The sequence below is a fragment of the Homo sapiens genome, chromosome 11 (genome assembly GCF_000001405.40).
Source record: "Homo sapiens chromosome 11, GRCh38.p14 Primary Assembly".
In the NCBI taxonomy this organism is placed as follows: domain Eukaryota; kingdom Metazoa; phylum Chordata; class Mammalia; order Primates; family Hominidae; genus Homo; species Homo sapiens.
In genome coordinates, this window is record NC_000011.10 from 73,767,051 (window position 1) to 73,786,720 (window position 19,670).

Consider the following 19,670-nt stretch of genomic DNA (forward strand, 5'->3'; position numbering starts at 1 on the left):
ACCTGCTACTAAGTGATAATCACTCTCAGAGTAGAAGAGAACAACTGCCTCTACTGCTGTTTATATAAAGAACAGAGCATCTTAGGATAGAAAAGTGAGACCAACACTGTTTGCACTGAAATACCAACAGACTGCACAGCCAAATTGTAACTTGCCAAAGAAGCCAAGAGAAACTATCTTTCTGTGAATATTTCTTCGGCTTTTCAATTAACACAAAGTAACTAGGACTTTATTTTATATAAAATCAAAAGATATCAAAATAATTATAGAAGTTGTAGCTCAAACTATGAAGTGAGATAATAAGCCCCAACATCACAGGAAAAATGAAAAAACTACCGGTTTTAGGAAGATAAAGATGTTCTGTCTTCTCTCTCTGAAACCATTCCAAAACGAGAATAAAGAAATTAAAATGCAAACTCTGGATTTGACATCTGTAACCCAGAGCCATAATATTTTAAGATGGGGGACAAAGATAGAGCAATGGTAACTGACTAAACAGAACATATAAAGTGCTTACTGAAGGATGAATTAACAAGAAGCAAGCCAATCAGCTAAGCGGAACTGCAGAAATTCTGCTCAGGAATGTGAAATACCAGGTACCATATAAGGTAGGGGGTAAAACGAGGACAAAAACAAGGGAATTGTATCAAGGACTGTATGAACAGCATTTTAAACCCATCCCTTTCTATGGTGAAACTGAATATAAGAAGCTCTCAGCAGCGGGGCGCCGTGGCTCACGCCTATAACCCCAGCACTTTGGGAGGTCGAAGCGGGGCGGATAGCCTGAGGTCAGGAGTTCGAGACCAGCATGGCCAGCATGGTGAAACCCTTACTAAAAATACAAAAATTAGCCGGGCATGGTACCAGGCACCTGTAATCCCAGCTACTTGGGAAGATTGAGGCAGGAGAATCGCTTGAACCCAGGAAGCGGAGGTTGCAGTGAACCGAGATCGCGCCATTGCACTCCAGCCTGGACAACAGGGTGAGACTCCGTCTCAAAAAAAAAAAGTTCTAGGCTCAGTTAACCAGGCATAGTAAAGTACCAGGGTGAGGTGCTGCCAAAAGACAGGGGAATTGATAAACAACCATCTCTTCCCAAGCATCTTCCATAACAACGGCAGGCAGTCTCATATGCCTAAAAAAGAGACTGAGTTTCGCCCTTGTTGCTCAGGCTGGAGTGTGGAGTGCAATGGCGCGATCTTGGCTCACTGCAACCTCCACCTCCCGGGTTCAAGCAATTCTCCTGCCTCAGCCCCCCGAGTAGCTGGGACAGGCGCATGGCACCATGCCCAGCTAATTTTTTTATATTTTTAGTAGACACAGGGTTTCACTGTGTTAGCCAGGATGGTCTCGATCTCCTGACCTCCTGATCTGCCCACCTCAGCCTCCCAAAGTGCTGGGATTACAGGCGTGAGCCACAGGGCCCGGCCCACATTAATTTCTAGACCAGCCTGGGCAACATGATGAAACCTCATCTCTACCAAAAATACAAAAAATTAGCCAGGCATGGTGGTGCACTTCTGTGATCCCAGCTACTCAGGAGGTTGAGATGGGAGGATTCCTTGAGCCTGGGAAGTGGAGATTTCAGTGAGCCGAGATCATGCCACTGCACTCCAGCCTGGGTGACAGAGCGAGACTCCGTCTCAAAAAAAAAAAAAAAAATCCACCAAAACAAAACAAAACCAATTCGCATTATTTTCATCAATAAAGACAAAAAATTTCCAAATCACTTTTCATACCAACTGTCTTCCTGGCTTTACCTGACACGCTGTTATTGCTGTTGTCCAGATCGGAGATTATCAAGGACAGTGTGCAGTCTTTCCAGAGGAGGCTTGCAAGAACACCTACATCGTAGCTGTAGTCCAATACAGACAACAAAGATTACAATAGGGTTGACATGTGCCCTTTATATATATACTCCACTATCTTTTGATGAGGGAAAAAAACAAACAAAAAAAAAAAAAAAACAAAAAAATAAAGAAAAAAACCCCACAGTTTATTTGCTATGTGATCCATTTACTAACATTATCATTTCAGAACCTTTCAGCTGGAAGAAACAGAAAACTCAACTCTAAATAATTTAAATGGGCGGGCTCTGTGGCTCACATCTGTAATCCCAGCACTTTGGTGCGGCCAAGGCAGGAGGATCACTTGACCTCAGGAGTTAAGAGACCAGCCTGGCCAACATGGTGAAACCTCGTTTCTACTAAAAATACAAAAATTAGCCGGGTGTGGTGGTGAGCGCCTATAATCCTAGCTACTAGGGAGGCTGAGGCAGGAGTGTTGCTCGAACCCGGGAGGCGGAGGTTGCAGTGAGCCAAGACTGCGCAACTGCACTCCAGCCTGGGCAACAGAGGGAGACTCCATCTTAAAAAAAAAAAAAAGTTTCAACAATAGGGCAAATCACATAAAGAAGTCCTGGCCGGTGCAGTGGCTCACGCCTGTAATCCCAGCACTTTGGGAGGCCGGGATGGGAGGATCACGAGGTTAGGAGTTCAAGACCAGCCTGGCCAATATGGCAAAACCCCCGTCACTACTAAAAATACAAAAATTAGCCGGCCGGGCGTGGTGGAGCACGCCTGTAATCCCAGCACTTTGGGAGGCCGAGGCGGGCGGATCACGAGGTGAGGAGATCGAGACCATCCTGGCTAACATGGTGAAACCCCGTCTCTACTAAAAATACAAAAAAAAAAAAAAAAAAAAAAAAAAAAAATTACCCAGGCGTGGTGGCACGCGCCTGTAGTCCAATGTAGTCCCAGCTACTTGGGAGTCTAAGACAGGAGAATGGCGTGAACCCGGGAGGCGGAGCTCGCAGTGAGCGGAGATCGCGCCACTGCACTCCAGCCTAGGCGACAGAGCGAGACTCTGTCTCAAAAAAAAAAATTAATAAGTAAGTATAAAATAAAATAAAATTAGCCAGGCGTGGCGGCAGGCGCCTGTAATCCCAGGTACTCAGGAGGCTGAGGCGAAAGAATCGCTTGAACCTGGGAGGCGAAGGTTGCAATGAGCCAAGATCATGCCGTTGCCCTCCAGCCTGGGTGACAAGAGCAAGACTCCGTCTCAAAAAAAAAAAAAAAAAAAAAAGGGAAGTCCGAAGCTTCCAGGACTGGTTAATTCCCTCCTACCCAGCAATGTCTACAAGAACCAGGTTGTTCTGTCTTTCTGCTCTGCCTTTCTCAGTGTATTGACTTTGCTCTTAGATGCTAGCTTCCCCAATAATCACAAGATTGCTGCTATAGTTCAAGCTGACACATCTATATCCTATAAAGTCCAAGGAAAGGAGATGCCATCTATGTATCTCTGTAAGTAAAAAAAAAAAAAAAAAAAAAAAAAAACATTTCCCAGAATCCCCCAGCAAACTCCCCATTACATCTCACTGGCCAGAATTGCTTCATATCCCCATCCTAAATCTGTCACTGCAAGAGAAATGGGATTACTAAGACTGGGATAGATAGATCTATGGCTGTGTGGAGAAAGATAGATTTTTGCATTAAAATTGTAATTTTGTTATGAGGAAAAGATGAAATATAATATTTGGAGCCCAAAGCCAGTGTTCATTACATTAAACACACGAATTCAGGTTCGAGTATCCTTTGTCCTGAAATATTCATTTGTTCATTTATTCATTCTACAAACACTTTTAACTACTGTGTACCAGGTGCTCTGCTTTTCTACTGGAAATATAAAGCAGAAAAATATTTGGTCCTTACTTTTTTTTTTTTTTTTGAGACAGAGTTTCACTCTGTCACCCAGGCTGGAGTACAGTGGTGCGATCCTGGCTCACAGCAACCTCCGCCTCCCAGGTTCAAGCAATTCTTCTGCCTCAGCCTCCCAAGTAGATGGGATTACAGGTGCCCACCACTATGCCCTGCTAATTTTTTTGTAGTTTTAATACAGGCCGGATTTCACCACATTGGCCAGGCTGGTTTTGAACTCCTGACGTCAAGTGATGCACCTGCCTTGGCCTCCCAAAGTGCTAGGATTACAAGCATGAGTCACTGTGCCCAGCCTTATCTTTACTTTTGAGGTTACATCATTCTACTGGTGAGGCAAACATGTTAATATATATATATATTTTCTTTTTCTTTTTCTTTTTTCTTTTTTTTGAGATGGAGTCTTGCTCTGTCACCCAGGCTAGAATGCAGTGGCGCGATCTCGGCTCACTGCAACCTCCGGCTCCCAGGTTCAAGCGATTCTCCTGCCTCAGTCTCCCCAGTAGCTGAGATTACAGGTGCCTGCCACCACGCCCGGCTAATTTTTGTATTTTTAATAGAGGCGGGGCTGGTCTCCAACTCCTGACCTCATGATTCACCCGCCTCAGCCTCCCAAAGTGTTGGGATTACAGGCGTGAGCCACCGCGCCCGGCATATTTTTTCTTTCAGAGATGGGATCTTGCTATGTTACCCAGGCTGTTCTTGAACTCCTGGCCTCAAGTGATTCTCCTACCTTAGCCTCTGTAAGTGCTGGGATTTTAGGTGTGAGCCACCATGCTCAGCCTTAAAAAAAAAACTAAATATAAGTAAGAATAAAGTAAGTAATGGGGGTATAGGTACTTTATTTATTTATTTATAGTTTTTTTTGAGACAGGGTCTCACTCTGTCACCCAGGGTAGAGTGCAGTGGTGTGATCTTGGCTTATTGCAACCTCTGCCTCCTGGGCTCAAGCAAGCCTCCCACCTCAGCCTCCTGAGTAGCTGGGACTACAGGCACGCATCACTATGCCCGGCTCGTTTTTTTGTATTTTTGGTAGAGATGGGGTTTCACTATTTTACCCAGGCTGGCCTTGAACTTCTGAGCTCAAGAAATCCTCTAGCTTTGGCCTCCCACAGTGCTGGGATTACAGGCGTGGGCCACTGATCCAGGCCCAGGTACTTTATAATTTTATTTAACTTATTAGATCTGCTAAGAAGAGTATATTATGGTCTACAGACCACAGAGATCATGCATATATTTCATATATCATCCACCACTTTGAAAACTAAGATATGGGTAAATCTTTTTTTTTTTTTTTCTTGTTGAGACGAAATTTTGCTCTTGTTGCCCAGGCTGGAGTGCAATGGCATGATCTCAGCTCACCACAACCTCTGCCTCCCAGGTTCAAGTGATTCTCCTGTCTCAGCCTCCCAGGTAGCTGGGATTACAGGCATGCGCCACCACACCCAGTTAATTTTGTAATTTTTAGTAGAGACAGGGTTTCACCATGTTGGTCAGGCTGGTCTCGAATTCTGGACCTCAGGTGATCTGGCCATCTCAGCCTCCCAAAGTGCTGGGATTACAGGCGTGAGCCACCGCGCCCGGCCAGATATGGGTAAATCTTAATTATCTCCTCCAGAAGAATATGAATTTGGTGAGTTTTCTATTTGCATTTTATTATGGCCAAAGCCCAAGAAATGACCAACTGTTAATGATAAGTATTTTCACTACTGTATCATATCAATCTGGAGCTCAGGGGCTATGTCTGAGCTGTAGATAGAGATTTTGGAGTCATCAGCTTATATGTGGCAGCTGTAGTAATGAGAATGGATGTATCACCTAAGTAGAGTGTAGCCTGAGAAGGCCAGGATAGAATCCTATGGAACAGCAATATTTAAAGTCAGACAGAAAAAGTATGGCCGAGCGGGGTGGTTCACGCCTGTAATCCCAGCATTTTGGGAGGCTGAAGCGGGCAGATTATCTGAGGTCAGGAACTTGAGACCAGCCTGGGCAACATGGTGAAACCCTGTCTCTACTAAAAATGCAAAAATTAGCTGGGCGTGATTGACGCACCCTGTAATCCCAGCTACTCGGGAGGCTCAGGTGGGAGAATTGCTTGAATCTGGGAGGCGGAGGCTGCAGTGAGCCCACATTGCGCCACTGTACTCCATCCTGGGTGACAGAGCAAGACTCTGTCTCAAAAAAAAAAAAAAAAGAAGTAATCTGTGAAGAAAAAAATGTCAGAAAGTTAGGTGGAAAACCAGGAGAGAAAGTGGTGACAAGAAAGCCAAGGAAGAAAATGTGTCAAAAGGAAAGCCTCAGTCAGCAGACTGAAATACGTCAGAGCAGTTAAATAAGTCAAAGACTAAAAAGCATCCTATTATCAAAGGTGAGTGACTGCAAATGGGGCAAATCGGGACAAGGAATCTTTTTTTTTTTTTTTGAGACAGAGTTTTGCTCTTGTTGCCCAGGCTGGAGTGCAATGGCGCGATCTTGGCTCACTGCAACCTCCGCCTCCCAGGTTCAAGTGATTCTCCTGTCTCAGCCTTCCAAGTAGCTGGGATTACAGTTGCATGCCACCACACCCAGCTAATTTTTGTATTTTTAGTAGAGACTGGGTTTCATCATATTGGTAAGGCTGCTCTCAAACTCCTGACCTCAGGTGATCCACCCGCCTCGGCCTCCCAAAGTGCTGGGATTACAGGCGTGAGCCACTGTGCCCAGTAAGGAATCTTTTTTAGGGTGATAGAAATCTTCTAAAAATTATACTGTGTTGATGATCACACAATTCTGCACATTAACTGAAAATCACTGAATTGTATGCTGAAAATGAGTGACTTTTGTGGAATGTAAATTATACCTCAAAAGAATGTTATTCCTTTTTTTTTCTGAAATGGAGTTTTTCACTCTTGTTACCCAGGCTGGAGTGCAATGGCATGGTCTTGGCTCACTGCAACCTCTGCCTCCTGGGTTGAAGCAATTCTCCTGCCTCAGCCTCTCGAGTAGCTGGGATTACAGGCACCTGCCACCATGCCCAGCTAATTTTTGTATTTTTAGTAGAGACGAGGTTTCACCATGTTGGCCAGGCTGGTCTCGAACTCCTGATATCAGGTGATCTGCCTGCCTAAGCCTCCCAAAGTGCTGGGATTACAGGCGTGAGCCACCAAGCCTGGCTCTTTTTTTTTGAGACAGGGTCTCACTCTGGTTGCCCAGGCTGGAGTGCAGTGGCATGATCTCGGCTCATTGCAGCCTTGACCTCCCAGGCTCAGGTGATTCTCCCACCTCAGCCTCCTGGGTAGCTGGGACTACAGGTACGAGCCACCATACCTGGCTAATTTTGTGTATTTTTAGTAGAGACAGGGTTATTCTACATTGCCTAGGCTGGTCTTGAACTCCTGTACTCAAGCAATCCTCCTGCCTCAGCCTCCCAGAGTGCTAGGATTACAGGAGTAAGCCACCGCACCTGGCCAAAACAGTATTTTCAAGAGGGTTACTGGTGGCCTGGGTCTGAGAAGTTTCAATGAAGTAATGAGAAAAAACACCAGATTTGGATTTAGAAGTAAATTCAAAATGAAGAAATGGAGGCAAGAAGTGAAGACTCTTTCATTTAAGAAATGTGGTTCTCCCCTCCCCCTCCCCCTCTCCCTCTCCCCATGGTCTCCCTCTCCCTCTCCCTCTCCCCATGGTCTCCCTCTCCCTCTCTTTCCACGGTCTCCCTCTGATGCCCAGCCGAAGCTGGACTGTACTGCCGCCATCTCTGCTCACTGCAACCTCCCTGCCTGATTCTCCTGCCTCAGCCTGCCCAGTGCCTGCAATTGCAGGTGCGTGCCGCCACGCCTGACTGGTTTTCATGTATTTTTGGTGGAGACGGGGTTTCGCTGTCTTGGCCGGGCTGGTCTCTAGCTCCTAACCACGAGTGATCTGCCAGCCTCGGCCTCCCGAGGTGCCGGGATTGCAGATGGAGTCTCGTTCACTCAGTGCTCAGTGTTGCCCAGGCTGGAGTGCAGTGGCCTGATCTCGGCTCGCTACAACCTCCACCTCCCAGCCGCCTGCCTTGGCCTCCCAAAGTGCCGAGATTGCAGCCTCTGCCCGGCCGCCACCCCATCTGGGAAGTGAGGAGCGTCTCTGCCTGGCCGCCCATCGTCTGGGATGTGAGGAGCCCCTCTGCCCGGCTGCCCAGTCTGGGAAGTAAGGAGCGCCTCTTCCCGGCCGCCATCCTGTCTAGGAAGTGAGAAGCATCTCTGCCTGGCCGCCCATCGTCTGAGATGTGGGGAGCGCCTGTGCCCCGCCACCCCATCTGGAATGTGAGGAGCGCCTCTGCCCGGCCGCGACCCCGTCTGGGAGGTGAGGAGCGTCTCTGCCCCGCCGCCCCGTCTGAGAAGTGAGGAGCCCCTCTGCCCGGCAGCTGCCCCGTCTGAGAAGTGAGGAGCCCCTCCGCCCGGCAGCCGCCCCATCTGAGAAGTGAGGAGCGTCTCCGCCCGGCAGCCGCCCCGTCTGGGAGGGAGGTGGGGGGCAGCCCCCGCCCGGCCAGCTGCCCCGTCAGGGAGGGAGGTGGGGGGCAGCCCCCGCCCGGCCAGCTGCCCCGTCAGGGAGGGAGGTGGGGGGCAGCCCCTGCCCGGCCAGCCGCCCCGTCCGGGAGGTGGGGGGTGCCTCTGCCCAGCTGCCACCCCGTCTGGGAGGTGTACCCAACAGCTCATTGAGAACGGGCCATGATGACGATGGCGGTTTTGTCGAATAGAAAAGGGGGAAATGTGGGGAAAAGATAGAGAAATCAGATTGTTGCTGTGTCTGCATAGAAAGAAGTAGACATAGGAGACTCCATTTTGTTCTGTACTAAGAGAAATTCTTCTGCCTTGGGATGCTGTTGATCTATGACCTTACCCCCAACCCTGTGCTCTCTGAAACATGTGCTGTGTCCACTCAGGGTTAAATGGATTAAGGGCGGTGCAAGATGTGCTTTGTTAAACAGATGCTTGAAGGCAACATGCTCGTTAAGAGTCATCACCACTCCCCAATCTCAAGTAGCCAGGGACACAAACACTGCGGAAGGCCCCAGGGTCCTCTGCCTAGGAAAACCAGAGAACTTTGTTCACTTGTTTATCTGCTGACCTTCCCTCCACTATTGTCCTATGACCCTGCCAAATCCCCCTCTGCGAGAAACACCCAAGAATGATCAATTAAAAAAAAAAAAAGAAAGAAAGAAATGTGGTTCTAAGGAAAGGAAATAAAAAACATAGTACCTAAAGAGACCCACAAGGTCAAGAAGGGGAGGAAGGTGGTAAGTTTAGTTTTAGATATATTCTGTTTGAGGTAAGACTCTATATAGCTAGTAGACAATTATTCCCTTTTGTTTGAGAAGTAGGAATTGTGGCAGATTGCTTAGTACAAAAGTTCCACAACAGGTGGGCATTGGAGTGAAGCTGGAAAGAGAGCAGCACAGCAGATAAAGGGCCCCAGTTGGTCTCTAGGCAAATTCCATTTCCAGAATTACTGAGCTCAGAGAATATCCATAGGACTTCATCTCTGTCAGCTTCTAGGCATATCAACATCAACTTCTTCCTCAGTACATATAGTGAAGAATCTCTCTCTACTCTCCCATTCTCCCCAGTTCCGGTTCTTCATTATCTGGAAGTTTTTCCTAGTGTTTAACACAAATCTCTCTTTAAAATTGAGTCTTTTAAAACTTCTCATTTAAGAAAAGATGCTGTGGCTGGGAGTGGTGGTTCATGCTTGTAATCTTAGCACTTTGGGAGGCCGAGGTGAGAGGATCTCTTGAGCCCAGGAGTTTAAGACCAACCTCTGTTGCATGGCAAGACCTCATCTCTATTTTAAAATAATAATAATAAAATGTATTTTAAAAAAAGAAAAAATGTTGTGTGCTGTCATGCTTTCTATTTCTAGTATTTATAAGATTGCCAGACATCCTCTCTTTTTTTTTTTTTTTTTTAATGAGATGGAGTCTCGCTTTGTTGTCCAGGCTGGAGTGCAGTGGCTCAATCAAGCTCAGTTCACTGCAACCTCTGCCTCCAAGGTTCAAGCGATTTTCCTGCCTCAGCCTCCAGAGTAGCTGGAATTACAGACATGCACCACCATGCCCAGCTAATTTTTGTATTTTTGGTAGAGACGGGGTTTCACCATGTTAGACAGGCTGGTCTCAAACTCCTGACCTAAGGTGATCCTCCTGCCTCGGCCTCCCAAAATGTTGGGATTACAGGTGTGATCCACGGCTCCCAGCAGCAAACTACTATTGATTAATATTAAGCATAAAGCAAACTCGAAATAATGAAAAAAAAAGTATTTAAAGCTGAGCACAGTAGCTCATGCTTGGAATCCCAGCACTTTGGGAGGCCCAGGGAGGAGGATCACCTGAGCCCAGGAGTTTGACACCAGCCTGGGCAACATAGTGAGATTCCCTTCTCAACAAAAAATATAAACAACAACAAAAAATTAGGGCCGGGCGCTGTGGCTCACGCCTGTAATCCCAGCACTCTGGGAGGCCGAGGCGGGTGGATCATGAGGTCAGGAGTTCGAGACCAGCCTGACCAACGTGGTGAAACCCCGTCTCTTCTGAAAACACAAAAATTAGCTGGGCGTGGCGGCGCATGGCTGTAATCCTAGCTACTCAGGAGGCTAAGCCAAGAGAATCACTTGAACCCAGGAGGCGGAGATTGCAGTGATCTGAGATCGCGCCACTGCACTCCAGCCTGGGCGACAGAGCAAGACTCCATCTCAATAAATAAATAAATAAATAAATAAATAAATAAATAAATAAATAAATAAATAAAAATGGGCCGGTCGCAGTGGCTCACGCCTGTAATCCCAGCACTTTGGGAGGCCGAGGCGGGCGGATCACGAGGTCAGGAGACGGAGACCATCCTGGCTAACACGGTGAAACCCCGTCTCTATGAAAAATACAAAAAATTAGCCGGGCGTGGTGATGGGCGCCTGTAGTCCCAGCTACTCGGGAGGCTGAGGCAGGAGAATGGCGTGAACCTGGAAGGCGGAGCTTCCAGTGAGCCGAGATCGCGCCACTGCACTCTAGCCTGGGCGACAGAGCGACTCCGTCTCAAAAATAATAATAATAAATAAATAAAACTGATGTTCAACATTTTTTTTTTTGAGACCGAGTCTCACTCTGTCACCAGGCTGGAATGCAGTGGCCGCGATCTTGGTTCACTGCAACTTCTGCCTCTCGGGTTCAAGCAATTCTCCTGCCTCAGCCTACCGAGTAGCTGGGACTACAGGGGCATATCACAATGCCCAGCTAATTTGTTTGTTTGTTTTTGAGACAGAGTCTCGCTCTGTTGCCCAGGCTGGAGTGCAGTGGCATGATCTCGGCTCACTGCAGCCTCTGCCCCCTGGGTTCAAGCAATTCTCCTGCCTCAGCCTCCCAAGTAGCTGGGACTACAGGCTTGCGACTCCACGCCTGGCTAATTTTGGTATTTTTTTTAGTAGAGACGGGGTTTCACCATGTTGGCCAGGATGGTCTTGATCTCCTGACCTTGTGATTTGTCTGCCTCGGCCTCTCAAAGTGCTGGGATTACAAGCGTGAGCCACTGCGCCCGGTGTTTTTGTATTTTTAGTAGAGACAGGGTTTCACCATGTTGGCCAGGATGGTTTCAATCTCTTGACCTTGTGATCTGCCTGCCTCGGCATCCCAAAGTGCTGGGATTACAGGCGTGAGCCACCACGCCAGCCACAACATCTTTAATCATCAAGGAAATGCAAACCAAAACCACAAATATACCATTTCAAACTACTAAAATGGCTTAAAAAATGTTTTGGGACCTTCAAATACTTGTACAAAATGTTCGTAGCAGCTTTGTTCACAATAGCCAACAGGTAGAAACAACCCAAGTGTCTGTTAACAGATGAACGGATAAACAAATTGTGGTATATTCATACAAGGGAATACTATTCAACTCTAAAGCAAAATAAAGTATTAATACATGGTACAACATAGATGAACCTTGAAAACATTATGCTAAGTGAAACTATGCAGACAGAAAACCTCGACTATTGTGTGATTCCACTTATGTGAAATATAGCAAATTCATAGAAACAGAAAGGGTCCTGGAGATTAACAGGAGCTAGTAGGAGAGGTTAATGGGGAGTTATTGCTTACTGGGCAATGGATTCTGCTTGGGGTAATGAAAAATTTTGGAAATAGATAATGACGATGATTGCACGACACTGTGAATGTAATTAATGCCACTGAATTATACACATATTGTTAAAATGGAAATTTTTCTCATATATATTTGACTACAATTTTTAAAAAACGAGCTGACTATAGAGTGACTTTAAGTAGAGTGACTATAAACTCCAGAACAGTCCACATTTATGACTGTTGTGTGGATTGTAATTATTGATAGTATACCCCTAGACTCTCAAAGCTATCCCAGTTTGAACAATAAATTATATAGCCACCCAATCTCTAAGATCTCATTTTGAATGATTCTGCAATCCTAACATCGGGCATTAGGACCTTACAAAGGTTTTGCGATGACATCACCTCTGGAAAACTAGAACCCACAGGCCTCCAGGGAACCGGAGGCTGGGCGGAAGATGTGTGCACTTCACACAAACGCCCAGCTCCCAAGTGAGAATCATTTCAGTGGTAAATCATCTCTTTACTTGGGGTTCCAAGAGCCCACGACTAAAGGGAAACACTTGCAGAATGTGTCGGATGGAGTCAGCGACGCCAGAAACAGAGAATAGCCCCACCCTCCCCTGTCAAGCCACACTCAACATGGCCGCCAGCGTCCATGTGGAGGAGGGAGCGCGCCTCCTCTCGCAGCCCCAGAGGGGCGGGCCCTGGGAACCGAACGAGCTTCAGCAGACCAATGGGGAGAGGCAAGGGGCGGGGTTGGCCTGGGTCTTCGGCCAGAGGGCGGTGAGGTTGACTTGAACTGGCGGGTCTTGTTGTGCCGGGGCTGCCACGTTATTTCCAGCTTTTGAGGTGGATTTTGCCCGCTGGTGTGCCACCGTCAGCGCTTCCGGGTTGAACTCCAGCTGAGCTGAGCTGATCAGATCCCACCCTACCCAGTACTTGTCCCTCCTCTTCCAAGCCAGCCCTAATCAAAGCCTTGTTGGCCCCTCCCTCTCATTTGAGATGACTCATCTCTGTATCCCAACGACGCGGCACCAGGTGTGGCCTGACACGTTTGAGCTTAAAACCTTTTTTTCTGATTATAAAAATATATGCATATTTTAGGAAATTAAGAAAAGTGTAATGGAAACAAAAGTGATTTACTGTCCCATCGGCCAGAAACAATCATAATTAACCTTTGTCATTCTTTTTTTCCCTCTGTGTGTCTATTTTAACACAATTGGGACAATGCTGTATAACTTATGTATTATCGTTTGCATATTAAGTGTTTTTCTTTGTGATTTTAAATGCATGGATAGGATAAAGTATTCCATGGATGAATGACTGTGATTTTTATATTTTTCCGTTGAGCATTTAAACTTTGAGCCTGGGCACAGTGGCTCACACCTGTAATCCCAGCACTTTGGGAGGCCAAGGCGGGCGGATCACCTGAGGTCAGGAGTTCGAGACCAGCCTGACCAACATGGTGAAACTCCATCTCTACTAAAAATACAAAATTAGCTGGGCGTGGTGGCACACGCCTGTAATCCCAGCTACTTGGGAGGCTGAGGCAGGAGAATTGCTTGAACCTGGGAGGCAGAGGTTGCAGTGAGCCAAGATCACGCCACTGCACTCCAGCCCGGGAAACGAGCGAAACACCATTTCAAAAATAAATAAATAAATAAAAATAAAAAATAAACTTTGAGTGGATAGCCTCTTGGAGATGGGGCAGGTCGGGAAGGAGAGACAGCTAAGAACTGGCTATTCCACAGCTTCACCTTCTCTTTGCAAAGTTGTTCCACAAGAATTACAAGATTGTAGAGTCTTTCAACATTTTAGGATCTTAGGGTTCTAAAGTAGTACAATTGAGAAACTCAGAATCATAACATCTTGGGTGAGTAAGGACCCCAGAAAAAACAAGTCCAAGCCTCTACCAAATAGTTTCACTCTGTCTCAAAAACAAACAAACAAAACCTGTCTCTATGAAAAAAAAATAGAAAAATTAGGCAGGCATGGTGGTGGGTGCCTGTAGTCTCAGCTACTTGGGAGGCTGAGGCAGGAGAATCGCTTGAACCAGGGAGGCGGAAGTTGTAGTGAGCTGAGATCACACCACGGCACTCCAGCCTGGGAAACAGAGCAAAAAGTCAGAAAGAGAGGAGAGAGGAGAGAGAGAGGAGAGAAAGGAGAGAGAGAGAAGAGAGAGAGAGAGGAGAGAGAGAGAGAAAAAAAATTGTAGGAGGAGGTGTGGCAAAAGCCAAATGGTATATTAATTTCCATAGGCCTATATGGCAGAGCATATAGAATAGTCCTTCTTAAGGCCAGAAGAGTTTTTTATTCCAAAACAGCATTATCAACTCAGAGTGACTTGTTTTAAATGAAGAATTGAGTTATTTTGGTGGTAAGGAGCAGGTTACCTCAAGTGGTTTAGGGTAAAAGTTTGTTGCGCATTTCATCATAAAAATAGGCATGTTGGAGAGCCCTGAGATGCTAAGCAGCCCAGTTTCAGGAAGAGTTGGGATTCAAAAAGAGGGGGCTTCGGATTCAAGAAAGGGGTAGGGACCACAACAAAGTTGGAAGGTCTGGTTTCCTTGCAGCCAGACTTAATGGATAATGTATTCATTTGAACCGAGTCTCAGTTTCATCATCTGTAAAATGGAAATAACCATGTAATTGTTCTCTAACTAGACCGTTAACAATGTACGGCAGAACAATGAAATCTAAGACCATTATAGGACCCGTGACCGGCTGGGTGGTGTTGATTTTTGCTGTTGTTGTTTTTACTTTTCTGTATTTTCCAAATGTTTTATAGTTAATTATGCCTCCCTACTTTTTTTTTTCCTTTTAATTACATTTATTTTAATGCTGAATTTACTCCCGTGCCATAAGTTTTGGCCCCCACGCTGCACCGGCGTCATCCGCCATTTGGTGTTTTCTCAGAAAAGAAGCAACCTCCCTACTTTTTTGAAGAAAAGGCTCTCAAGGGCTAAAATAAGAGTTGCTAATCATGACAATCATCTCTACTTTGATCAAAAACTTAGAGTCAAAGTTCTTAGTATTCTTCAGCAAGCCCAATGTTCATCCACAAATTATTTCTGATACCTACAATGTGTAGATGCTAAAAATATGTTGAGAGAAACACAGAGTGGGATCAGACAAGGATCAGAACATCAAGGAGCACTGTCTGGTGGTTTGAAAAAACACATCTTCAAACAACTATAAAACAAATTAAAAAGTATATAAAGGAGGTATAGGAAAATGTGTTGAACAGTTATCAGTGTGGTATATGCAATGCACATGTGAATAGGAATGGCTGAATGGTAAACTGGAGACAGATCATGAAAGCTAAAATGCCAGGTTAAGGAGCGTATTGTTAAATTGGAGGGCTGTAAGTAGCTATTGAAGGGTTTTTAAACTTTTATTATTATTGGCCTGGCACGGTGGCTCACACCTGTAATCCCAGCACTTTTGGAGGCTGAGACGGGCAGATCATGAGGTCAGGAGATCGAGACCATCCTGGCTAACACGGTGAAACCCCGCCTCTACTAAAAATACAAAAAATTAGCCGGGCATGGTGGTGGGCGCCTGTAGTCCCAGCTACTCGGGAGGCTGAGGCAGGAGAATGGCATGAACACAGGAGGCAGAGCTTGCAGTGAGCCGAGATCATGCCACTGCACTCCAGCTTGGGGGACAGAGCGAGACTCCGTCTCAAAAAAAAAAAAAGCAACTTTTATTATTATTACTATTTTTTGAGACAGAGTTTCGCTTTTATTGCCCAGGCTGGAATGCAATGGTGTGATCTCGGCTCACTGCAACATCCACCTCCTGGGTTCAAGTGATTCTCTTGCCTCAGCCTCCTGAGCAGCTGGGATTACAGGCGCCCACCACCAAGCCCGGCTAACTTTTTTTTAGTAGAGACGGGGTTTCACCATGTTAGCCACACTGGTCTCAAACTCCTGACCTCAGGTGATGTACCAGCCTCAGTCTCCCAAAGTGCTGGGATTACAGGCGTGAGCCACCACCACACCTGGCCTATTATTATTATTAATTTTTTTTTTTGAGGATTCTTGCTCTGTTGCCCAGGCTGGGTGCAGTGGCACAATCAAGGCTCACTGCAACCTCCGCCTCCCAGGTTCAAGCAATTCTCCTGCCTCAGCATCCTGAGTAGCTGGGATTACAGGCACATGCCACAATGCCCAGCTAATTTTTTTGTATTTTTAGTAAAGATGGGGTTTCACCATGTTGGACAGGCTGGTCTTGAACTCCTGACCTCAAGTGATCCGCCCACCTCAGCCTCCCAAAGTGCTGGGATTACAGGCGCGAGCCATTGCTCCTGGCATATTATTATTATTATTTTGAGATAAAGTCTCCCCCTGTCACCAAGGTTGGAGTGCAGTGGCACAATCACAACTCAACTGCAGCCTCAACCTCCCAGACTCAAGTGATCCTCTCACCCTCAGGCTCCCAAATAGCTGGGAAAATACGTATGCACCACCACACCCAGCTAATTTTTATTTTTATATTTTGGTAGAGACAGGATTTTGCCATGTTGCTCTGGATGGTCTCAAACTCCTGGGCTGAAGCAGTCCTTCTGCCTTGGTCTCCCAAAGTGCTGGGATGATAGGCATGAGCCATTGTGTCTGGCCTACATTTATTATTTCTTAATTTTTTTGAAGACAAAGTCTCGCTTTGTCGCCAGGCTAGAGTACAGTAGTGTGATCATAGCTCACTGTAACCACAAAACCCTGGGCCCAAGGGGTCCTCCTGCTTGGCCTCCCAAAGTGTTGGGAGTACCCCAGCGTAAGTACCTCTGCACCCGGCTGTATTGAAGGTTTTTTGTTTGTTTGTTTTGCTTTTTAGATCATGATCTCCATGAAATATGCTTCAAGAAAGCTGTTTTTGGAAATAAACTGGCATAGGAATGAGACTAAAGACTGGCAGACCAATTAGTTACGCCAGCACAATAGTTCAGATGGGAGATAATAAAAATGGACCTTGGCTAGTACATGTGGAGGTAAAGAGGAGGGGCATTCAAATGAAGAGACAGAGCAGATAGTTGGAGATGAAGGTCAGAAGTGCCTATCTCATTAGGTCAAGGAGTTATTACTATCCTCTAAATAATGTGTTTCAAAAACTATCTCCACATTTTTATTTTGTAAAATTTGCACTTGTGTCTCCTAACCCCAGGCTGCCAGGCAGGATAATTACACTAGAGGCTATGAGTGGTTTGCTAGAGTGGAATTAGGGTTTTTCTGTTTCTGTTTTCCAGTACCTGTGTGATATTTGGGCCTTGGACAGCAGCAACACAAAGACCTTTTCCATAAGAAAAGGGTTTGGTTTTGTTTTGTTTTGTAGAGATGTGGGTCTCATTATAGCCCAGGCTGGTCTCAAACTTCTGGGCTCAAGCAATCCTGCCTCAGCCTCCCTAAGCGCTGGGATTATCGGTGTGAGCCACCACACTTGGTCGAAAAGTTTTCTTACGTTGAGTAACATGTTTGCAATAACAAGTGGTTCAGTGCAGACCAACCTGAAAGGGATGGGAAGAGGTGGATAAGGATAGCCTCTCAGGTGTCACAGTATCCCTGCTGAGATTACAGGTGTGAGCCACAGCACCCTGCCCCTTCCTGTGGGCTTCTGTGATCTTACTGAACAGTTGAGCTTCCCTCTTGCAGCCTCTTTCATCATCTTTTCGCCCTCTCTCTAGGGTTAGGTAATTCCCACTCACTCAGCCCAACCCTGCACAAGGAGAAAATTCCTGGTAAAGTTCGGGCTGGGGAGTCAGCACCATCTCTTTCTGGCTTTTCCTAGGTAGCCAGTCCTCTTCCACCTCTGGCCTTTTATATTTTTTCTTTTAAGTATGATTTTCTTTGTACCAAAATCATACCAAAAAATAGAAGCAGAAAAGTTCCACTGAAGCTAAAATAGTTTTCAGTTTGAGGTAGCTTAAGGTATATATCTCCACTTAAGCCATAGATTAGAACTTTTGGCACTATGGGAAACTTTTTATAATAGGTGATCATGGAATTATTACTTTAAAGGAAGTTTAACCAGAGATCAAACATAGTCTTTCTAAAGGGCCTCCCTTTATTCTCTTGCTCCCTAAGGCATTCTCTGATGTGGCTGTGCTGAGAACCAGGACAGGTTTTTTTTTTTTTTTTTTTTTTTAAGCTTTAAAGGAAGGTTAGCTTGTAAAAATAAAACCAGAAAGGCAAAGTACTCAATGCTTTTTTTGTGATGCAAGATCTTATAAAAATCTAAAATCCATATTTACTTCTAGGAACTTTAAAAATATTCGCACATTCATTATTTCATTCAACATTTGTTGGAGCTTCATTATGTTCTATGACCTGTGCCAAATGCTGAGGATAGAAAGAAAAATGAACAATATTCCTTTAAAAGTGCTCTAGTGAATCCAGTGGAGATCTAGTGGAGAAGATACATAAGTGAACAAATAGTTACAATACATTGTATTGAGAGCATAAGAAATGAGCTGTGGAAGTGCAGAGAAAGGACCACATTATTTTCGTGGAGTGGTTGGAAATGGCTACACAGGAAAGGTAACATTTGACTTGTGTCTGGAAAGAAGAGTAGGAGTTTTCCAGGTGAATGAATAAAGAAAGGTCAACAGAAATATTGTAGGAGCAAAGGCAGGGAGGTGTGATAGAGAATATCATGATTGGAGAATTACAGGATTTAATATTGGCTATGGAGTAATATTTGTGTTGAAAAGGGTGGAAAGGCCAGCCAGGCTCAGTGGCTCACACCTGTAATCCCAACAGTTTGGGAGGCTGAGGTGGGAGGATTGTTTGAGGCCAGGAGTTCAAGACCAGCCTGAGTAACAAAGTGAGACCCCATCTGTACAAAAATAAAAATAAAAATAATTAGCTGGGCACAATGGTATGTGCCTATAGTCCCAGCTACTTGGGAAGCTGAGGTGAGAGGATCACTTGAGCCCAGGAGCTTGAGGTTGCAGTGAGCAAGATCACATCACTGCACTTCAGCTTGGGTGACAGAGCAAGACTCTGTCTCAAAAAAAAAAAAAAAAGGCTGGAAATAAGGCTAGATAGGTAGATGGGGATTAGATTTTTTTTTTTTTTTCGAGACAGAGTCTCGCTCTGTCGCCCAGGCTGGAGTGCAGTGGCCCGATCTCGGCTCAATGCAAGCTCTGCCTCCCGGGTTCACACCATTCTCCTGCCTCAGCCTCCCGAGTAGCTGGGACTACAGGCGCCCATCACCACGCCCGGCTAATTTTTTGTATTTTTAGTGGAGACGGGGTTTCACCGTGTTAGCCAGCATGGTCTCGATCTCCTGACCTCGTGATCTGCCCGCCTCGGCCTCCCAAAGTGCTGGGATTACAGGCGTGAGCCACTGCGCCCGGCCAAAAAAAAAATTCTAGTTGTTTTGGGAATCCTTATATCTTCGTACAAAGGACTAACCGTCTCCTTCTTCCTTCTTTTTCCCTTTCCCTTCACCTTACCTACCCCAGAGAGTGTATTAATGCAAAGATGGATTTGTATCTTTTTTTTTTTTTTTTTTTTGGGATGGAGTTTCGTTGTCGCCCAGGCTGGAGTGCAATGGCGCCGTCTCGGCTCACTGCAAGCTCTGCCTCCCGGATTCAGGCAATTCTCCTGCCTCAGGCTCCTGAGTAGCTGGGATTACAGGCATGCACCACTACGCCCAGCTAATTTTTGTATTTTTAGTAGAGACGGAGTTTCACAGTTTTGGTCAGGCTGGTCTCAAACTCCCGACCTTGTGATCCGCCTGCCTTGGCCTCCCAAAGTGCTGGGATTACAGGCATGAGCCACCGCACCCGGCCATGTATCTTATTAGATTGTATTTACCTGGACTAGACAAGGAAAGAAACTCTCTGGCTGCCAACCTGCCCTTTT

The 19,670-nt window shown here is 45.9% G+C and overlaps 3 annotated features.

Moving 5' to 3' along the window:
- Positions 9,510-10,376: an enhancer, noted in NCBI's record as "H3K27ac hESC enhancer chr11:73487605-73488471 (GRCh37/hg19 assembly coordinates)". NCBI's record gives its function as "activates a minimal SCP1, AML or CMV promoter by ChIP-STARR-seq in primed H9 embryonic stem cells {active_cell/tissue: H9 hESC(primed)}" and the evidence as "EXISTENCE:reporter gene assay evidence [ECO:0000049][PMID:30033119]".
- Positions 12,129-13,003: a transcriptional cis regulatory region, noted in NCBI's record as "candidate enhancer chr11.4166 targeted for multiplex CRISPR interference". NCBI's record gives its function as "positively regulates MRPL48 gene expression in K562 cells {active_cell/tissue: K562}" and the evidence as "EXISTENCE:mutant phenotype evidence [ECO:0000015][PMID:30612741]".
- Positions 12,182-12,541: an enhancer, noted in NCBI's record as "active region_5240". NCBI's record gives its function as "activates an Ori minimal core promoter by ATAC-STARR-seq in GM12878 lymphoblastoid cells {active_cell/tissue: GM12878}" and the evidence as "EXISTENCE:reporter gene assay evidence [ECO:0000049][PMID:35858748]".